General features: G+C 46.4%; 1 protein-coding gene and 1 long non-coding RNA gene across 19 annotated transcripts in view; one reads left to right on the forward strand and one right to left on the reverse strand.

Annotated features, from left to right (window-relative positions):
- The window catches only part of GTF3C2 (general transcription factor IIIC subunit 2), a 30,911-nt gene that overhangs the window by 1,841 nt on the left and 9,167 nt on the right, over window positions 1-19,903 (reverse strand). For 14 of the 18 annotated variants that reach the window (NM_001035521.3, NM_001521.4, NM_001394503.1 and 11 more), the window contains 16 exons: window positions 15,614-15,884; window positions 15,132-15,453; window positions 14,254-14,539; window positions 10,232-10,326; window positions 9,787-9,864; window positions 9,550-9,648; window positions 8,504-8,731; window positions 8,223-8,334; window positions 7,904-8,012; window positions 6,280-6,305; window positions 5,961-6,090; window positions 1,685-1,829; window positions 1,427-1,588; window positions 1,150-1,237; window positions 774-902; window positions 343-495 (listed from right to left, as the gene is read on the reverse strand). In NM_001035521.3, the coding sequence (NP_001030598.1) occupies window positions 343-495; window positions 774-902; window positions 1,150-1,237; window positions 1,427-1,588; window positions 1,685-1,829; window positions 5,961-6,090; window positions 6,280-6,305; window positions 7,904-8,012; window positions 8,223-8,334; window positions 8,504-8,731; window positions 9,550-9,648; window positions 9,787-9,864; window positions 10,232-10,326; window positions 14,254-14,539; window positions 15,132-15,453; window positions 15,614-15,860 (2,409 nt within the window). In that variant the 5' untranslated portion in view covers window positions 15,861-15,884. The remainder of the gene's footprint in view (window positions 1-342; window positions 496-773; window positions 903-1,149; window positions 1,238-1,426; window positions 1,589-1,684; window positions 1,830-5,960; window positions 6,091-6,279; window positions 6,306-7,903; window positions 8,013-8,222; window positions 8,335-8,503; window positions 8,732-9,549; window positions 9,649-9,786; window positions 9,865-10,231; window positions 10,327-14,253; window positions 14,540-15,131; window positions 15,454-15,613; window positions 15,885-19,903) is intronic. The other 4 variants (NM_001394512.1, NM_001394514.1, NM_001394516.1 and 1 more) reach the window with 4 other exon arrangements.
- GTF3C2-AS1 (GTF3C2 antisense RNA 1) lies at window positions 7,848-10,109 on the forward strand. Its single transcript, NR_038427.1, has 4 exons — window positions 7,848-8,026; window positions 8,598-8,776; window positions 9,517-9,632; window positions 9,743-10,109. It is a non-coding gene; the product is annotated as a GTF3C2 antisense RNA 1 (long non-coding RNA).

Genomic DNA, 19,903 nt, shown 5'->3' on the forward strand with positions numbered 1-19,903 from the left:
TTGGCTCACTGCAATCTCCACCTCCTGGGTTCAAGTGATTCTCCTGCCTCAGCCTCCTGAATAGCTGGGACTACAGGCACGCGCCACCACGCCCAGCTAATTTTTGTATTTTTAGTAGAGACGGAGTTTCGCCATGTTGGCCAGGATGGTCTTGATCTCTTGACCTTGTGATCTGCCCGCCTAATCCCCCCAAACTGCTGGGATTACAGGCATGAGCCACTGCACCTGGCCGAGGCTCCTTAGTTTTACATCTTTGTGCTGAACTCAGGCTTGCGTACTATACAAAGACTAAAGTTTTCTACCTTTTCTAATACCACACCCATTCTCCTGGCCTCAGCTTACCAAATCTGTGTCTTGAAAGAGCAAGTAGTGATGGTTGACAGTTTCAGTGTAAGTTCGAGCCTTAGGAGGGTTGGGGACCCCAGATGAAGCAGAAGAATGGTCTGGACCTTCAGGACTGTCCTGATACGGTATCAGATCTGCTTTATATATAGGCTGGAAAGGAGACCATGAAATTAGGTTCTATAATACTCAAGACAGAATAAAAGCAGAGGAAAGTGGTTTGGGCAGGAAAGGCTTAAAGATGGAAAAAAGTAGTATCTTTAAATATATGCTCAGATGCAGTACGGTAGGGAAGATTATATACAACTCTGTGCTAAGATTTTCTGGGATATCAGGGCCGGGAGACCTGACACTAGTTTGTACTCTACCAGAATTTGGGAGGGCATGTGGGTTAGGATCCAACAGCTGCTGTTAGATGTTCGTATACGTACAAATCTTCGCTCTACAGGTCGCTTGACATTTATTGGATTCAGTGCCATATCTGGTAATATAGCAGCAATGAGCTCCCCGGATATATCTCCTGCAGCTATTGTCCCAAGCCAGTCGGATCCTGAAAGACTCTAATAGAAAGAGACAGATTTCATTCATTCATATATTCATTCAGAGCTATGAACTGGTAACAGCTGCACAGTCTGAGAGACAGACACACAAACAAAAATGAGTTTACCATAACCGACAGCCCTGATGATAGAGTTACAACATCCCTATCTTCTCCTTCTACCCAAAACTACTGCCTCTGACTACTAATAGTGCATAAATGAGCCATTTTCCTTTGTAATGAAGACTGCAAAAGAAAGGGGGGCTCACCCAAACGGTGCCTTTTCGAGGAGCAGTGAAGTAGGCCTTGAAACCAAGGTAACCAGCGTCAATATAATGAATCCCACAGAGTCCATAACTGTTAAAAGAGAAATAAATTTAAACCTTCCTTTTCTTTAGATTCATTTCTTCTTCTTAACCTCTTCCAGAATTTAAACCACCTCAGTGAACCAACTCTCTACCCTCCTCTCCCCACAACAATCTGGCATGCTTTGCATTCCAACCCTTAGGGCCTGTCCCTAGAGGTCCTATCTCCATCTTGCCGTACGAGGCATAGCAGTTGTCCTGAGCCACAGTGACACCATTGTAGGGAAGCAGCCAGGCCAGTTCTGTACTCAAGAAGCGCTTGATAGAGTTTATGGGTTCGTAAGGACGTCGAAGGTCCCAGAATTTGATTTTCCGGTCACTCCCCGCAGAGACAAGGAAATGGCTGTAAAAAGACGGGAGAAGGTCAAATCCAAACAAATCCGGAAGTCAGCCTGTCCCAGTCTTCACCTTCCCCCTCCACATACCTCCTATTCCATACCTGTTAGCTTTGCACCATTGAAGGGTACGCACAGCCTGGTCATGGGCTAGGAAACACTGGAAGGGGTAGAGCTTTAAGGAGCCATCAGAGAGCCGTATCCGCTGCAGGGGTGAGTTAGTGGGAAGGTTCCAGAAAACCACCATGCCTGAAATAAGGACAGAATGTGTGAGCATTAAAAGCAAGTTCTCTCTTCCTTGCTCTAATTTCTTTCTCTGGGCTCCTAGGACCTTTGTCTTCTACCCTCAGATCCAAACCACTATGAAAGGATGTGGGGATCCTGATTAGCTATCCAACACTCCCTCCAGGGCTTAAAGACTCAACCTGGTATTTTAACCCTAATTCTCATCAACAAAAAAGTAATAGCTTTGTCTGGAATCTACAGTTGAAAAATGATAGGGTGAACACACCTAGTGCAGAGAGTAGAATGCACCTCTCTCTACTCCCTATAAATAAACGTCAAGGGACTTTTAAAAAGCATAGGTGGGGCACACGGTGGCTCATGCCTGTAATCTCAACACTGTGGGAGGCCAATGCAGGTGGTGGATCACCTGAGGTCAGGAGTTTGAGACCAGCCTGATCAACATGGTGAAACCCCGTCTCTACTAAAAATACAAAAAATTGGCCAGATGTGGTGGTGGGTGTCTGTAATCCCAGCTACTCGGGAGGCTAAAGCAGCAGAATCGCTTGAACTCAGGAGGCGGAGCTTGCAGTGAGATTGTGCCACTGCACTCCAGCCTGAGTGACAAGAGCAGACTCCGTCTCAAAAAAAAAAAAAAAAAAGCATAAAAACTCTAGGAAGCCAGGCGCAGTGGCTCACACTTGTAATCTCAACACTTTGGGAGGCCAATGCGGGTGGATCACTTGAGGTCAGGAGTTCAAGACCAGCCTGGCCAACATGGTAAAACCCCCATCTCTACTAAAAATACAAAAAAAAATTAGCCAGTGTGGTGGTGTACACCTGTAATCCCAGCTACTTGGGAGGGTGAGACATGAGAATCACTTGAACCCAGGAAGCAGAGGTTGCAGTAAGCCGAGATCACGCCAGTGCACTCCAGCCTGGGAGACAGAACGAGACTCCACCTCAAAAAAAAAGAAAAAAAAAAGAAAATGTTCGCTAACTCTGCCCCAAGACAAAGAGAACAGGCAAAAAGTCAAAAGCAACACAATGTTGCTAGGTGCAATGGCTCATGCCTGTAATCCTAGCACTTTGGGAGGTAAAGGCAGGAAGAACACTTGCACCCAAGAGTTTGAGACCAGCCTGGGCAATATAGTGAGACCCCACCTCTAAAAAATAAAAAAAGGCCAGGCACGATGGCTCATGCCTGTAATCTCAGCACTTTAGGAGGCCAGGGTGGACATATCACCTGAGGTCCAGAGTTTGAGACCAGCCTGAACAATATGGTGAAATCTCATCTCTACTAAAAATACAAAAATTAGCTGGCCTTTGGTGGTATGCACCTGTAATCCCTGCTACTCAGGAGGCTGAGGTGGGAGAACTGCTTGAACTCGGGAGATAGAGGTTGCAGTGAGCCAAGATCATGCCACTGCACTCCAGCCTGGACCCCACAGACCCTGTCTCAAAAAAAATAAAATAGCCTGGTGTGGTGGCGCATGCCTGTAGTCTCAGCTACTCAGAAGGCTGAGCCACTCAGGGAATGAATGCAGCACCTATGAACCTTTCTTGAAAAAGTTTGTTGACGATGAATTATAGCCATGCAATATAAATAATTCAGCAATTGGAGGGGAGACTAAGATAAATGGACTGGTAGAGGCACTCAATCAAGTTTAGGAATTAAGAAAGCAGAACAGCATCGAGAATCATGTACCTTGACAATGTAAGAATAATACCACCAAAAGAAAAAACATGGCGAAAGGGATGATAAAAAGACGTGTAAGAGTGCTAATTTCCTTATCTTCCTAGCAGAAAGTCTACTTATATCTAAAAACAACACTGTCATTTTGTTTTTGAAACGGAGTCTCACTCTGTTGCCAGGCTGGAGTGCAGTGGCACGATCTTGGCTCACTGTAACATCTGCCTTCCAGTTCAAGCGATTCTCCTGCCTCAGCCTCCTGAGTAGCTGGGACTACAGGCACGCGCCATCCTGCCCAGCTAATTTTTGTATTTTTTAGTAGAGACAGGGTTTCACCATGTTGGCCAGGATGGTCTCGATCTCTTGACCTGGTGATCTGCCCGCCTCGGCCTTCCAAAGTGCTGGGATTACCGACATGAGCCACCACACTTGGCCAATAACACTGTCATTTAAAAATAACAATCTAGGCCAGGCATGGTAACTCTCATTTGTAATCCCAGCACTTTAGGAGGCTGAGGCAGGCAGATCACTTTGAGCTCAGGAGGTGAAGACCAGCCTGGGCAACATGGCGAAACCCCGTCTCTACAAAAAATACAAAAATTAGCCAGGCATTGTGGCTCGTTCCTGTAGTCCCAACTACTCCAGAGGCTGAGGCTGGGGCATTGCTTGAGCCCAGGAAGTCCAGGACGCAGTGAGCCAAGATCTTGCCACTGCACTCCAGCCTGGGTGACAGAGTGAGACCCTATCTGAAAATAAAACAAAACAAAACCTAATAACTCCAACTACTTAATATTATTTGTAACTTATTTATAGTCTTTTTAATTCTAAAAGTATCTTGGAGGAACTAGTGTCGCTTATAGTGAAGGAACATTCATCAGGAGCTTAGCCAATATTTCAGTGTGACTTTAGTGTCTTTTTCTTCTATAAAATTAAGATATAATTAAATTTAATACATTTTTAGAATACTTTACACAGTATGATCCCATTTATTTAGTTAGTTAGCTAGTTAGTTAAAGATGGGGTTTCACCATGTGGCCCAGTCTCCAACTCCTGGGCTGCGATCCTCCTGCCTCAGCCTCCCAAAGTGCTGGGATTACAGGTGTGAGCCACCATGCCTGGCTGATCCCATTTTTATAAAACTCTTTCCTCTAATCTTTCTATTTTTATCTATAAAGAACTGCATGAAATGATGTTCCTCACTTTTTAATTTTTTAAAAATTTTATTATTTTTAGTTTTTTTTTTGAGACAGAGTCTCGCTCTGTCCTCCAGGCTAGAGTACAGTGGCACCATCTCGGCTCACTGCAAACTCCGCCTCCCGGGTTCACGCCATTCTCCTGACCCAGCCTCCCGGGTAGCTGGGACTACAGGAGCCCGCCACCACGCCCGGGGAATTTTTTGTATTTTTAGTAGAGATGGGGTTTCACCGTGTTAGCCAGGATGGTCTCGATATCCTGACCTCGTGATCTGCCTGCCTCGGCCTCCCAGAGTGCTGGGATTACAGGCGTGAGCCACCGTGCCCGGCCTAAAAATTTTATTATTTTTTTGAGATGGAGTCTCCCTCTGTTGCCAGGCTGGAGTGCAGTGGCATGATCTTGGCTCACTGCAACCTCCGTCTCCCAGCTTCAAGCGATTCTCCTGCCTCAGCCTCCCCAGTAGTTGGGACTACAGGTGCAATCTATGACACCCAGCTAATTTTTGTATTTTTAGTAGAGACAGGCTTTCACCATGTTGGCCAGGATGGTCTCCATCTCTTGACCTCATGATCCACCTGCCTCAGCCTCCCAAAGTGCTGGGATTACAGGTGTGAGCCACTGCACCCGGCAAAATTTTATTATTTTTAATGATGAGGTCTCACTAGGTTGCCCAGCTGGTCTTGAACTCCCAGCCTCAAGTGATTCCCTCCCATCTTGGCCACCCAAAGTACTGGAATTATAGGCATGAGCCACCACACCTGGCCGGCATCTACTCTTTTTTTTTTTTTTTTTTTTTCCAGACAGGATCTCACTGTTGCCCAGGCTGGAGTGCAGGGGTGTGATCTTGGCTCACTGAAACCTATGCTTCCTGGGTTCTCAGGCCTCAGCCTCCCAAGTAGCTAGGACTCCAGGCATGTGCCACCATCCTGAGCTAATTTTTTGTATTTTTTTGGTAGAGATAGGGTTTCGCTGTATTGGCCAGGCTGGTCTTGAACTCCTGACCTCAAGAGATCTGCCTGCCTCAGCCTCTCAATAGGATGGGATTATAGGCGTGAGCTACCGCGCCTGGCCCAGCATCTATGTACTCTTAATTTTTTTCTGAGTAGAAATAGTCTAGTGACTTATTTCTTTCTATTTTTTTTTTTTTACATTGCTTGAATATTTCTAACTATATGTCCAGTATTGAACCACCAAAGAAAGAACCAAAAAACAAGCATATATAAAAAATTTAAAGAGCAATAGTTCCTTATGTTTTATTTTGGTTTTTTTACCATTATAATATCCAGCAGCTAGGTGTTGGTGGGGCCTGGTAGGCATCCAGGCCAGGCTAAGGCACTGACCACACTCAGAGGGGTCTGTAGCTTGCATAGACCCCACCTGCAGAGTTGCCACACATTGTACCTGCAGGGAAAGAAGAGATGGGACTAGGGTTAGGGACACCTACACTGTTTGGAACGAAAGCTCAAATCAGTGCTTAATCCAGCAGGATGAGGGTATTTTTCAGAAGTATAAGGAGACTCACTGTGGAATCAGCAAGGTGAGGCTCTAAGAAGATGGAGCCTCAGCTAAGGTAGCAGGTTCCTCACTCACCTTATATATGGCAGGCTTCACTGCATCTGTGAGGAAAAAGAGCAGGAACTAACTCTATGGATCCCAAGGACTCAGCAGGTCTTACTCTGTCACCCAGGCCCGAGTGCAGTGGCATGATCATGGCTCACTGCAGCCTCCAACTCCTGGGCTCAAGCAATCCTCCTGCCTCAGCCTCCCAAAATGCTGGGATTATAAGTGTGAGCCACCATGCCTAGCCAGGCCTTGCCTTTTTTTTTTTTTCCTTTAGACCTCCTCTGTGGACACAGGCCTTCTCTTAAATCAGCAACCAATCCTTTGAATAATGACATTCCCTTATCCTTTATTGAGAAAGTCCTTATCTTTTCATCACCAAATTTATGAACCTACCTCTATCTGTTCCCATCTTCTTTCCTTCTGTTACACCTGATAGTATCCTTCCTCCTATCAGAAGAGCAATCCCTTCACTCTACTCTCTTCTCATCCTCTAGCACCTTTTCCAGAACACTGCTCATTCTGTTATCCTCCTTCCTCCTGTGTCATCCACTTGTTCCCTCCCTAGTCTAGGTCACTCCCATATTGCTATGTGAACATGCCCTAATGTCTCCTATCCAAATAAAGGGACAAAACCTTCCTTTATTGACCACACTTAGGCAATCCACCACCCTCAATTACTGGTTCCCCTTCACAGCGAAATTTTTTTTTTTTTTTCAGACAGCATCTCACTAAGCCGCCCAGGCTACAGTGCAGTGGCACAATCTCAGTTCACTGCAGCCTCAACCTCCTGGGCATAAGTGATCCTCCCACCTCAGCCTCCCAAGTAGCTGGGATTACAGGCATGCACCACTATGTTCGGCTACTTTTAAAAATTTTTTTGTCGAGACGACATCTCATTATATTGCCCCAGCTGGTCTCAAACTCCTAGGCTCAAGCAATCCTCCCACCTAGGCCTCGCAAAGTACTGGAATTAAGGCATGGACCACCATGCCCAGCCCCACAGCCAAACTTCTTGAAAGAATGGTCTATATTTACTATCTTTACTTTCTGACCTTCTATTACCTCCTCAACCCACTCCACCAGACCACCACATATGGGACTTCCCAGGGCTCCAGCCTGGGTGCCCTCTTCTTTAAATACTCAGTACTAATGAAAAATAAATTCAACATATAGGAGCTGCCTTTTCCTGACTCCTCCCTCCTTTTGCTCATCTTCAGCTCTCTATTCCATCCCTCTCTTCAGCAGAACAAGAGATTGTGTTTGTGTGGTGGTGAGGGCAGGAGAGGCTAAGAACAGGATTGGGGGAACAAGAGTATAGCAGGGGAGATGGGCCCTATCTATCAGCCCAAGCCCTCAGCAGCTCTTTACACAGCCAGTTACCTGTGGCAGCAAGAGGGGGAAAGTCTTGAGAGCACAGAAGAGGGAAGAAGGGGGAGATAAAAGGAAATGTGCTGAAAGAGTACAGCTGTAAGACTGCAAAAGAGAGAGGGCTCAAGAACAAACCTGAGTCACAATGCAGGGTGTGTGTGTGGCTGAGTAAGGCTTTGTGCTAAGAGAGACTGGCCCAGAGGAGTTTCCAGGGAGACAGACAGGCCCTGCTATGCTGTGACCACCACTACAGCAGCCCCATTCTCCTTGCTGTGCTACTCACCTGGGGGTTGCTGAGCCAGCAGGGCCTCCGGATGGGGTAGACTGAATAGCAGTACTTTCCCGTCTGAGCAGGCCAGAGCCAAGAGACCCAACCGGGGCAGGAGAGGAGCCTAAAGGGTAAAAGGTATGCTGAGGCTTGCTGCCTTCAGCTGACTCACAGAAAACCTTTGAGGTTCTAGTCCCTGAAATACTGTATGAAGTTGCTGGAAAAACTCCATCCACTACACTCCAACCTTCGTTCCTTCAACTCTAAGAATTCCCAGGGCCTCTTTGTCCTGGCTTTGAGTCCTAGGGCCATCCCACAGTTGACTGGGAAGTACCTTCCGAGGGGTGCCTGGAAGTTCCCATGCTCCACTGGGGCAGAACTTGAGGTCCCAGATGCAGCCGTTGTCACAAGCAATCCCATAGACAAAGTGGGCCCTGTTGCCAGGACTGGAGAGAGAGAGCATGTGGGGATGGTGGGTAGGAAGAAGGGACGCAGGGCTGCCAGAGGTAAGCTCCCCTTGTCTCAGCCCAATCCAAGCCCTTCCCCCTATCCTGTCCAGACCCCATCCTGCTGTCCTCAACCACCCTCCCATGGCAGTGTCCAACCCCACCTCACCAGCTTTCTTGCTGCAAGGTCCCAAGGCCCCAGAGCTGGAGCAGCCCAGGACCCGAATGAAGCTGGCTCAGTGGGTGTGTCTCATTCATGTCAGGGCTGGAGAAAAGAGCCACATATTGCGAGGCTCCTGCCCCCTCTGGCACTGGGCACCAGTCCAGAGCCCAGAGCGGTCCCCCCGTGAAGAAGGACACATCCCAGCGCTCTGGATGTGCTGTGATCGAGCTAAATCTAGAGAAAAATCAAAGATGGGATGAAGAAAGGAATTAATGAAAGGTAATGAGGACTGAATGGGCGCTCCACCCAGAGCCAGTATGAACTGGCTCAAGCAAGAGCCTGAATATCAAAAACAGTTTACAAGTGAGAACAGAGTCCTTGGCTTCCACTTGTATCTTCCTCCTTTCCTTCCCAAAGTCTGTCTTATATTATTATTATTTGAGATGGGGTCTGTCACCCAGGATGGAGTGCAGTGGCATGATCGACGGTTCACTGCAGCCGTGACCTCCCAGGCTCAAGTGGTTATCCCACCTCAGCCTCTGGAGTAGCTGGGACTACAGGCATATGCCACCATACCCCACTAATTTTTAAATTCTTTGTAGAGATAGGGGTCTTGCTATGTTTCCTAGGCTGGTCTTGAACTCGTGGGCTCAAGTAATCCTCCCTTTTTGGCCTCCCAAAGTGCTGAGATTACAGGTGTGAGCCACCACACCCGGCCTCCAAAGTCTGTCTAACTCCAGCTCATCTTCAGGGCTGTTCATTCTGGCATACTATAGTAGTCTCCCTAAGGCTAGTCTGTCCAGGTCTATCTGAGTAGATGTAACCTTGTGAACTGCTTTGGCCCCTAAATCTCTCTAGCTTCCCTCAGCCTGCCAGTAATGAACACTACAAATCAGAGAGGACTGACCAGCTCTAGTCAGCACTCTTATTCTTGGGACCAACTGAACCAGCATCAGGGGAAGGACAGGACTTATCTGTCATCTCTTTCAACATTCATTTTTCTTGTTTCTGGCTCCTAGAATCAGAAAAAAGGGCGGATGTGCAATCTTCACCTGTTTATTCGGTAGAGGGTGCCATCTTCAGGTAGCCCTTCACGTTGTACAGAAAACAATGGAGACTTCTCCTCCTGGGGCAGGTAGGGAGCGGCCTCACTGGGGGAAGACAAAGGGAACAGTCTAAATTTGGAAGTGTTTCACCCATCTCAGGGTTCCCATTATAGAGCCTCTGTCACCCTTTCGTCTCCAGTGGTGTCACCCTTCCTAAGCTACAGAGATGTTGCTTCAACTTACAGCTCAGATAACAAGTGCCACTTCCAGGCTAAAGGAATCCACTCAGCAAACTCCCAGTATGAATGTTTCTGCTCTCGGCTGGAGAAACAGAAGAAGCATTAATGAAGGAGAGGGATTCTACAGCCGCACAGTCCAATAAAACTTTCTGTGGGGATGGAAATGATCCATTATCTGTGCTCCCCAATATGCCAGTTGCTAGCTCCAATTAGCTACCAAGCACCTAAAATGTGGCTAGCGCAGCTGAGAAACAGAGCCTTTCATTTTATTTCACTTTAATTAAAGAGTTCTAGAGCTCTTGCCTCTAGAGCAGTGCTTTTTAGTAATGAATGTCATCACGGTATTCCACCCATGAGTGCTTCTCTTTCCCACGGCCCCACTTCAATACCGCCCTTGCACTCCTCTACCACCCCTTTATTAACCCCAGCCCCCTGTCCCCAAGTCTCACAAGTCCTTGGTGAGATGGAGGCACTTCCAAACAGGAGCCATGATATGATTTGGTAAGCCATTGGGAGCCATTCCTCGGCAGTGTGGTTTCTGTTTCTGAGGATCAAATTGAAGAAAATATAAGGGAGCAAATTCTACAGGTTGGACAAAGTCCCAGAGACAGCTCTTTCCCAGTTTTTATCTTCTTTGGCAATACCTCCCCCTCCAATCACTGCCCTATCAGCATCTTAAAAGATTTGTGTTTCAACCACTATAATGACTTCTTCACCTTCTGCTCTACTCCTCCATCGAAAATGCAAAATCTGTTACCTATTTTCTGTTCAGCTTCCTCAACATCTCCATGGTATTTGATTCACAGGATTCCCTTATGCCTCTTTGAAACTCCCGCCCTATGGAATAGTCTCCCTTACTCCTCTCCCCTCTCTTAATATTCCTTCACAGGTTCTCCCTTCTTGACAGGTCTCCTCGATGATGGTATTCCCCAGAGTTCCTGTCGTCTTCTCGCCCCTCTACACAGGCGCGCACGCGCACGCGCGCACACACACACACACACACACACTCCTGGTAATCTCATCTCATGTCCCATGGCTTTGACTACTGTCTTTTTGTTTTTTTGTTGTTTTTGAGATAGGGTCTCACTCTGTTGCCCAGGCTGGAGTGCAGTGGCGCAATCTTGGCTCACTGCAGCCCCAGCTTCTGCCTCCTGGGCTCAAGCAATCCTCTCACCTCTGCCTCCTGAGTAGCTGGGACTACAGGCACACCCCACTACACCTGGCTAATTTTTTTGTATTTTTTTGTAGAGACAAGGTTTCGCCATGGCCCAGACTGGTTTTGAACTCCTGGGCTCAAGCGATCCCTCCCCCTCGGCCTCCCAAAGTGCTGGGATTACAGGTGTGAGCCACCACACCTGGCCTTCTTTAAAATTTAGAGACAGGGTCTTGCTGTGTTGCCCATGCCAGACTTGAACTCCTGGGCTCAAGCAATCCTCTTGCCTCAGCCTCCTGAGTAGCTTGAAGTACAAATGCATACCACCAAACCCAGCTTGACTACCATCTTTATGCCTGATTATCAAGTTTACATTTCCGTCATGTAAACCTGACTCAGTCTCAACTTCTCTACAAGTTCTAGACAGTGTTGTGGCAAGCCATATTAGAGCATGAGGCAAATGGAAAAAAACAGTAATCAGTTGAAAAAATCAGTAAAGCCGGGCATGGTGGCTCATGCCTGTAATCCCAGCACTTTGGGAGGCCGAGGCGGGCGGATCACGAGGTCAGGAGTTCGAGACCAGCCTAACCAACACGGTGAAACCCCATCTCTACTAAAAATACAAAAATTAGCTGGGTGTGGTGGTGTGCACCCGTAATCTCAGCTACTTGGGAGGCTGAGGCGGGAGCATTGCTTGAACCCGGGAGGGGTGGAGGTTGTGGTGAGCTGAGATCATGCCATTGCACTCCAGCCTGGGCAATAAGAGCGAAACTCCGTCTCAAAAAAAAAAAAAAAAAAGAAAAAAAAAATCAGTAAAGATCCTGTCTTTATTTAAAATTTTGATATTTTGTTCATCATGGAACGAAATATCCATGATTTGTTGCATTGATTTTTTTAAATGTTGCATCAAAATAGCATTTATCTCAATTACTGAGGGTTTCTGTTATCCCTTAGATGTTGCACGTGAGGCAAGTAAGGCACTGGTCTCATATATGCAACTGGTGACCAGACATCTCCAGCAGAATGACCCATGGCCCATGGGCACCTCAAACTCAACATGTCAGAAAGTGAATTCTGTCAGGTGTGGTGGCTCACATCTGTAATCCCAGCACTTTGGGAGACCAAGGCGGGCAGATCACTTGAGGTCAAGAATTCAAGACCAGCCTGGCCAACATGGTGAAACCCCATCTCTACTAAAAATACAAAAGTTAGCTGAGCGTGGTGGGGCGTGCCTTTAATCCCAGCTACTTGGGAAGCCGAGGCAGGAGAATCACTTGAACCCAGGAGGCAGAGGTTGCAGTGAGATGAGATCACTCCACTGCACTCCAGCCTGGGTGACAGAGCAAGACTCTGTTTCAAAAAAAAAAAAAAAAAAAAAGGGAAAAAAGAAAGTGAATTCAACTTCTCCCCTCCCCACCTTTGCCCCTCCCACATCCCTCACCCTTTTCGTGTTCCCAGGTTCAGTGCATGATGCCACCATTTAAGCTGGAAACTGCTATTCAACTTCCTCCCTCCCTTCAATTCCCAAATACTGTTAATTCTCTTACATATTCCATTATGTGAGAGAACACAGAAACAAAAGAATTACAAAAATAAAAATAAAAAATTACCTTACATATCTCTTCTTTTTTTAAAGACAGAGTCTGGCTGGAGTGCAATAACGCGATCTCAGCTCACTGCAACCTCTGCCTCCTGGGTTCAAGTGATTCTCCTGCCTCAGCCTCCCGAGTAGCTGGGACTACAGGTGTATGCCACCACACCCAGCTAATTATTTTTGTATTTCTAGTAGACACAGGGTTTCACTATGTTGGCCAAGCTGGTCTCAAACCCCTGGCCTCAAGTGATCCACCTGCCTTGGCTTCCCAAAGTGCTGAGATTACAGGTGTGAGCTACCGCACCTGGCCTCTTACATATCTCTTGAATCTGCCCCCTCCCTGCTCTTCTCTTCCTTCACTGCTTGATTTAGGACCTATCTCTTACCTGGATAACTGAAACTGTCTTTTTTTTTTTTGAGACAGTTTCACACTGTCACCCAGGCTGGAATGCAATGGTGCAATCTCAGCTCACTGCAACCTCCGCCTACTGGGTTCAAGCGAGTCTCCTGCCTCAGCCTCCTGAGTAGCTGGGATTACAGGCGTGCGCCACCACATCCAGCTAATTTTTTTTTTTTTTATTTTTAGTAGAGACGGTGTTTCACTATGTTGGCCAGGCTGGTCTCGAACTCTTGACCTTGTGATCCACCCACCTTGGCCTCCCAAAGTGCTGGGATTACAGGCGTGAGCCACCGCATCTGGCAAAGCTGTCTTCTGTCAACTATAGTTTGACCTATTTTCCCAACTGATGTTATTTTTCTACTTAAAAATGTTTGTTGTACAGTTTGTGTACAACTGAATTGTGTGTTTTGTTTTGTTTTGTTTTGTTTTTGAGATGGAGTCTCACTGTCTCACCCAGGCTGGAGTGCAGTGGCATGATCTCAGCTCACTGCAACCTCTCCCTGCCTGGTTTAAGTGATTCTCCTGTCTCAGCCTCCCAAGTAGCTGGGACTACAGGTGCGTGCCACCATGCCTGGCTAATTTTTGTATTTTTAGGAGAGACGGGGTTTCACTATATTGGTCAGTCTGGTCTCAAACTCCTGACCTCGGGTGATCCACCTGCCTTGGCCTCCCAAAGTGCTGGGATTACAGGCATAAGCCACCACGCCCAGCCTCAATTGTGTATTTTTAAATGGTTAAAATGGCAAATTTTATGTTATATACATTTTACCACCAAAAAAAACCATAAACAAAAACAGCCTTTGTTGGTTCCTATAGGTCTATGTCCTTTCATATTCTCCAGTTTAATCTCGCCTACAACTTTACTCCAGGCTCTATGCTCCAGCCATAATCAATTTATGGGAAAACCATCCTCTCTGGCAAACTTCTACTTATCCTTCAAGAAGCAATTCAACTATCATTCCTCTGTGAAGCCTAGGCAGTTAATTACCCTTTCCTTTATATGCCTAAATCATTTTGTTCACTCCTGGGGTAGTGCTGATTGCACTGTGAACTTGTGAGGCAGGATACACTGTCTTATTTACGTTTGTTGTGTTTCCTAACAGAGAACAGATACTCAATATATGAATGAATAATCTTGTTTACCATACCCCTTCTTCTGCGCTCTCCCTAATATGCCAAATGTTTTGGAAATGGACCCTTTTTTCTTTAACCTGTTTTGTCTATTATAGTTACCAGGTCAAAGCTGTCCTTCCTTTCTCAGTACCTTGCTGGTCCCCTAAAATCCTACTATGTCCCCATTCACTTTCTTGTCCATTGAGGTTACCCCTGAAGTAGATCCTCGTGGGGTGCTTCGGGGCACTACAGGCTCAGGTTCAGATGAGCTCTCACTTGGGCCCTCACTTTCTTCCACATCTTCAGCCTCAACCTGGAGAAAAAAGTCTTCATCCCGTGGAGCACCATCCACCTCTTCTCCACCTGGACAGGCTGCTGGCTGCCGGATCTTCTTCGGTTTGGTGGGGCTGCTCACCTTGGGGCCCTCAGGACAGGACACAGGGGCAGGCAGGGCTGTTGAGAGCTCTTCAGCCAGTTCCTGAAGATACAGAAGTGCCCTGTGGGAACGGACAGAGTCAGAGCCATTCTCACATATGACTGAGAACCCACGTTTCCAGACATGGTTGATTTTTATCTCAATGGAGCCTCCCAATAACCCCATGATTAACCAATTAACTCTATTAATTTCCCCTTCCCCCTTGGAAGATGAAAAACCAGAAATCTAAGTTATGTGACTTGGCCGAGATGACTGAGATAACAAATGTGGAATCTGAACCCAGGTCTTCTCACTCCAAGTTCAATACATTTTTCATCCTACCACAGTCAAAGAACACAGAGGGCAAGAGAAAGAATGGAACAGAATATATATACTGACATATACTGGACAGTAAAACAATAAAGAGCTGGGTAAAGTTTGTGAAAAATGGCATAGGACATAAAGTACAGACAATAATTCTTAGATAAACCAAGTTAGCAATACATACCATTAATAGTGCTGCGGTAAGAGCCTAAAGGACTGCTCAAGTCCCTAGAATCCAGACACCACCCCTGCTTACCTAATACCTCATCAGTCTTCTCTCTCCAACATCTGCCCCACCCTGATCCCTTCACCCAACCCCCCTCCACCAAGCTATGCCCCACAATCCTTACACTTGGGCAGCCCTTCGGCGGGGTCGTTCCCCAGAAGGGGTCTCAAAGTCCTCAGGGGGCCTCTTTGGAGATTGAGATTCTGGCCGATCTAGGTCTTTTGACAACTTCAGCAGCAGCAGCTCTGCCTTGGACTTTCGACCTCGTTTCTTAGGCATGGGGGTGGACAGAGGGTTGGATTGATCTAAGAGACCAGGAACCAGTGGGGCTGATGGAGGATTAGGCTGTTGGGGCCTTTTGGGGCCTTTTCGTGTCCTACCACCTCTCTTCCGGCCAGGCTTTGAGGCCCTAGGCTTTGAGACCTTTGACATCTCTGAAGAAAGATCTGTGGAGAAGAATATGGGTCTGTGAGATGGGACCAGAACTCAAACCTCTATGGAAAAGATTACACTGTACCCAGGTTTGTAAGATCCTATGAGCTCAATCTGCTCTTTCATCTTAAGCTTGGCATGGGGAATAAAAAGATAAGAGGACAAGGTACATACCTGGCTGTTCCAGTCTGGAGAGGCTTTCCTGCTCTGGAGGGAGCCTCCTCTGATCAGGAGAATCCTCAAATCCAGGCAAAGGGGTAGGTAATGACATCTCTACGGAAGCCTCTGCACTGGTCATTTCTGAAGAGGTCTTGACATCAAGCTGATTTAGCACCTCTTGTCCAGGAGAGTCTACCACAGTCATGTTCCCCACGGGGCCGGCCTCCCCCAGGGCAACATAGCCGACCCCGCAGGTATCCATCAGCACCCCCCAAAATGGCTGCCCCTGCATACAGAGACACACAAATGAGTAGAGGACAAAAACTATTTGTACTAGCTCAGATTTTTATTTCCCCATCTTTTCTCCCTCATTCTCACACTCATAACCAAGTTCCCTGATTATTCACTTATTCAACAATATTTACTAAGCACCTTCTATATGTCAGGACTGTTCTGGAAACTGGTAATATGAGCCAGGTGCGGTGGCTCACACCTGTAATCCCAGCACTTAGGGAGGCTGAGGCAGGAAGGCAGCTTGAGCTTAGGAGTTTGAGGCTAGCCTGGGCAACACAGCAAGACCCCTTCTCTAGCAAAATAAAATAAAATAAAAAAATTAAAAACAAAAAAGGAAACTGGTGATATGACAATAAACAAGACAGACAAGGTCCCTGCCCTCATGGAACTTACATTTTGGTGAAGCAGACAATAAACAAGTAAACAAATAAAGCTTCCATTTTTTTTTTTTTTTAAAGACGGAGTTTCACTCTCGTTGCCCAGGCTGGAGTGTAATGGGGCAATCTCAGCTCACTACAACCTCCACCTCCTGGGTTCAAGCAATTCTCCTGCCTCAGCCTCCTGAGTAGCTGGGATCAAGGTGCGCACCACCACGCCCAGCTAATTTTTGTATTTTTAATAGAGATGAGGTTTCACCATGTGGGCCAGGCTGGTCTCAAACTCCTGACTTCAGGTGATCCACCCGCCTCAACCTCCCAAAGTGCTGGGATTACAGATAATGAGTCACTGCGCCTGGCCATAAAGCTTCCATTTATTAAATGCTAACTATGTGCCAAGCACTATACTAAGTGCTATACATACATTATCTAATTTAAAGCTCATATATTTTCTTGTAAGGATGAAGCAGTGAATGCACAATTATTTAACCTCTGTCTCTGAAACCCAATGAAATAAAACACACACACACAGACATACACACACTCCAAAAAAGAAGAGAGAGAAAAATTTGTCTAGCATGAATCTAGGAAAGGGACACCAACTTCCTCAAAATATACTACAAAAAAGAGCTGCCAGATACTACAAAATTTAGACCAAAGTGAAGAGGCATACTTAATGTTAACATCTCTTTCTGTAAAGATTAGTCAAGGAATAAGTTTATTTAAGAATAAGTAAAAGGCCAGGCAGGATGGCTCATGCCTGTAATTCCAACACTTTGAGAGGCCAAGGAAGAAGGACTGCTTGAGGCCAGGAGTTCAAGACCAGTCTGGGCAACATAGGGAGACCTCATCTCTACAAAAAATTTTAAAAGTTAGCCGGGCATGGTGGTGCGCACCTGTAGTCCCAGCTACTTGGAAGGCTGAGACAGGAGGATTGCTTGAGCCTAGGAGTTCGAGGTTACAGTGAGCTATGATGGTGTTACCATACTCCAGCCTGGGTATGGTATTTTAAATAAAAACATTTAAAAATAATTTTCTGGCCAGGCACGATAGCTCATGCCTGTAATTCCAGCACTTTGAGAGGACAAGGCAGAAGGATGGCTTGAGTCCAGGAATTCAAGACCATCCTGGGCAACAGAGTGAGACTCCTTTGCTACAAAAAAACATGGTGGTGCACACCTGTAGTCTCAGCTACTTGGGAGGCTGAAGACTTGGGAGGCTCCTTGAGCCCAGGAGGTCGAGGCTGCAGTGAGCTGTAATCACACCACTGCACTCCAGCCTGGGCAACAAAGCAACACCGTCTCAAGTAAATAAATAAATGAATTTATTTTTTAAAAAGAATGAGTTGGCCAGGCACGGTGGCTCACACCTGTAATCCCAGCACTTTGAAAGGCTGAGGCAGGCGTATTGCCTGAGGTCAGGAGTTCGAGACCAGCCTGGCCAACATGGTGAAACCCCATCTCCACTAAAAATACAAAAATTAGCTGGGCATGGTGGCAGGCGCCTGTAATCCCAGCTACTCAGGAGGCGGAGGCAAGAGAATCAATTGAACCCGTGGGGTGGAGGTTGCAGCGAGCCGAGATCATGCCACCGTACTCCAGCCTGGGTGACAGAGTGAGACTCTGTCTTTAAAAAAAAGAATGAGTCAAAGAGTTCTCTGGTGCCCTGCTATCAATATTTCACCTGGATGGGGGTGGTGGGTAGACTATGGGACAATTAAGGAACATCCTATTATGTTAAGAAAGCTTTTCCTTTTTTTTTTTTTTTGAGATGGAGTTTCACTATCGTTGCCCAGGCTGGAGTGCAGTGGCGTGATGTCGGCTCACTGCAACCTCTGCCTCCCAGGTTCAAGCAATTCTCCTGCCTCGGCCTTCCGAGTAGCTGGGACAACAGGTGCCCGCCACCACACCCAGCTAAATTTTTGTATTTTTAGTAGAGATGGGGTTTCACCATGTTGACCAGGCTGGTCTTGGACTCCTGACCTCAGGTGATCTGCCCACCTTGGCCCCGCAAAGTGCTAGGATTACAGACTTGAGCCACTGTGCCCCGCCACTTTTTTTTTTTTTTTTTTTTTTGAGACACGCTCTTGTTCTATCACCCAGACTGGAGTGGTGCAGTGGTGTGATCACAGCTCACTGCAGCCTTGTCCTCCAGAGCTCAAGCAATCCTCCTGCCTCAGCCTCCCAAGTAGCTAGGACTATAGGCATGTATCACCATGCCTGGCTAATTTTTAAATTTTTTGTAGAGATGAGGTCTCACTACGTTGCCCAGGATGGTCTTGAATTCCTGGGCTCAAGCAATCTTTCCACCTCGGTCTCCCAAAATGTTGGGATTATAGGTGTTAGCCACCGTGCCCATTCTGATACCTTTTTTTTTTTTTTTTTTTTTTTTTTTTTTTTTTTTTTTGAGACAGAGTCTCATTCTGTAACCCAGGCTGGAGTGCAATGGTGCAATCACAGCTCACTGCAGCCTGGACCTCCCAGGCTCAAGTGATCCTCCCACCTCAGCCGCCTGAGTAGTTGGGACTACAGGCATGCACCACCATGCCTGACTAATTTTTGTATTTTTTGTAGAGACTAAGTTTCACCATGTTGCCCAGGCTGGAGTGCAGTGGCGTGATTACATACTCAAACTCCTGGACTCAAGCAATTCTCTCAACTTCGTCTCCCAAAATGCTGGGATTACAGGCATAAACCACTATGCCTTGCCTTTTTTAATTTTTAAAAATTAAAAAAAATTTTTTTTTTCTGAGTCAGGATCTCGCTCTGTCACCCAGACTAGAATGTGGTGGTGTGATCACAGCTCACTGCAGCCACTAACTCCTGGGTTCAAACAGTCCTCCCTCCCCAGCTTCCCAAATAGCCAAGACTTCAAATGTGCACCAATACGCCCAGATACGTTTTTAATTTTTTTGTGCAGATTGGGTCTTGCTATTTTGCCCAGGCTTGTCTTGAATTCCTAACCTCAAGAGATCCTCCCACCTTGGCCTCCCAAAGTGCTGGGATTACAGGTGTAAGCCACCATGTCTGGCCAAGAAACCTTTCCACATTGAAGAATTGACTAAATTGTCATGAGTCTTCATTTTCTTCAAACCCCAAAAAATTAGTTGTATAACCATGGGCCAAAGTAAACTAAGATAAATCACTGACCACCAAACCCGAAACCTAAGCAACACAGAACTCTCCAAGGGTCCAGTTTTTGGCCAGAATAACCTGCCTGTCTGTGACAAAGGGGCAGACATAGTTCAAATCCCAGGATGGGACCCCGCCCCCCACAGATCTATATATACGCCTTAAGAATAAACAATTCATCAGTCTCAGTGGAAAAGTGTGCTTATACAAATCCCATAAGAAATATAAAATAAAAGCTTCCAACTGTCTCACTTGAAGAAGCTACAGTCTAACCAGATTATAAACTATAGCAATGGCCAACCCTCTGAGGCAGGTGCTGAGGATACAAGAAAACACATGTGCTAAAGATACATTATAACACTGCCAAGGTAAATAAAGGTCAGTGAAAATCCATCTATATTATTCCTGTGATAAATAAGAAGCCCTGACAGAACTACCCCATTCAAAATTAGTCACAAGCCAAAAGGACCTATGCATATACCGAAAGAAAAGGATAGAAAGAT

This window comes from Homo sapiens, chromosome 2 (genome assembly GCF_000001405.40).
Source record: "Homo sapiens chromosome 2, GRCh38.p14 Primary Assembly".
NCBI lineage: Eukaryota > Metazoa > Chordata > Mammalia > Primates > Hominidae > Homo > Homo sapiens.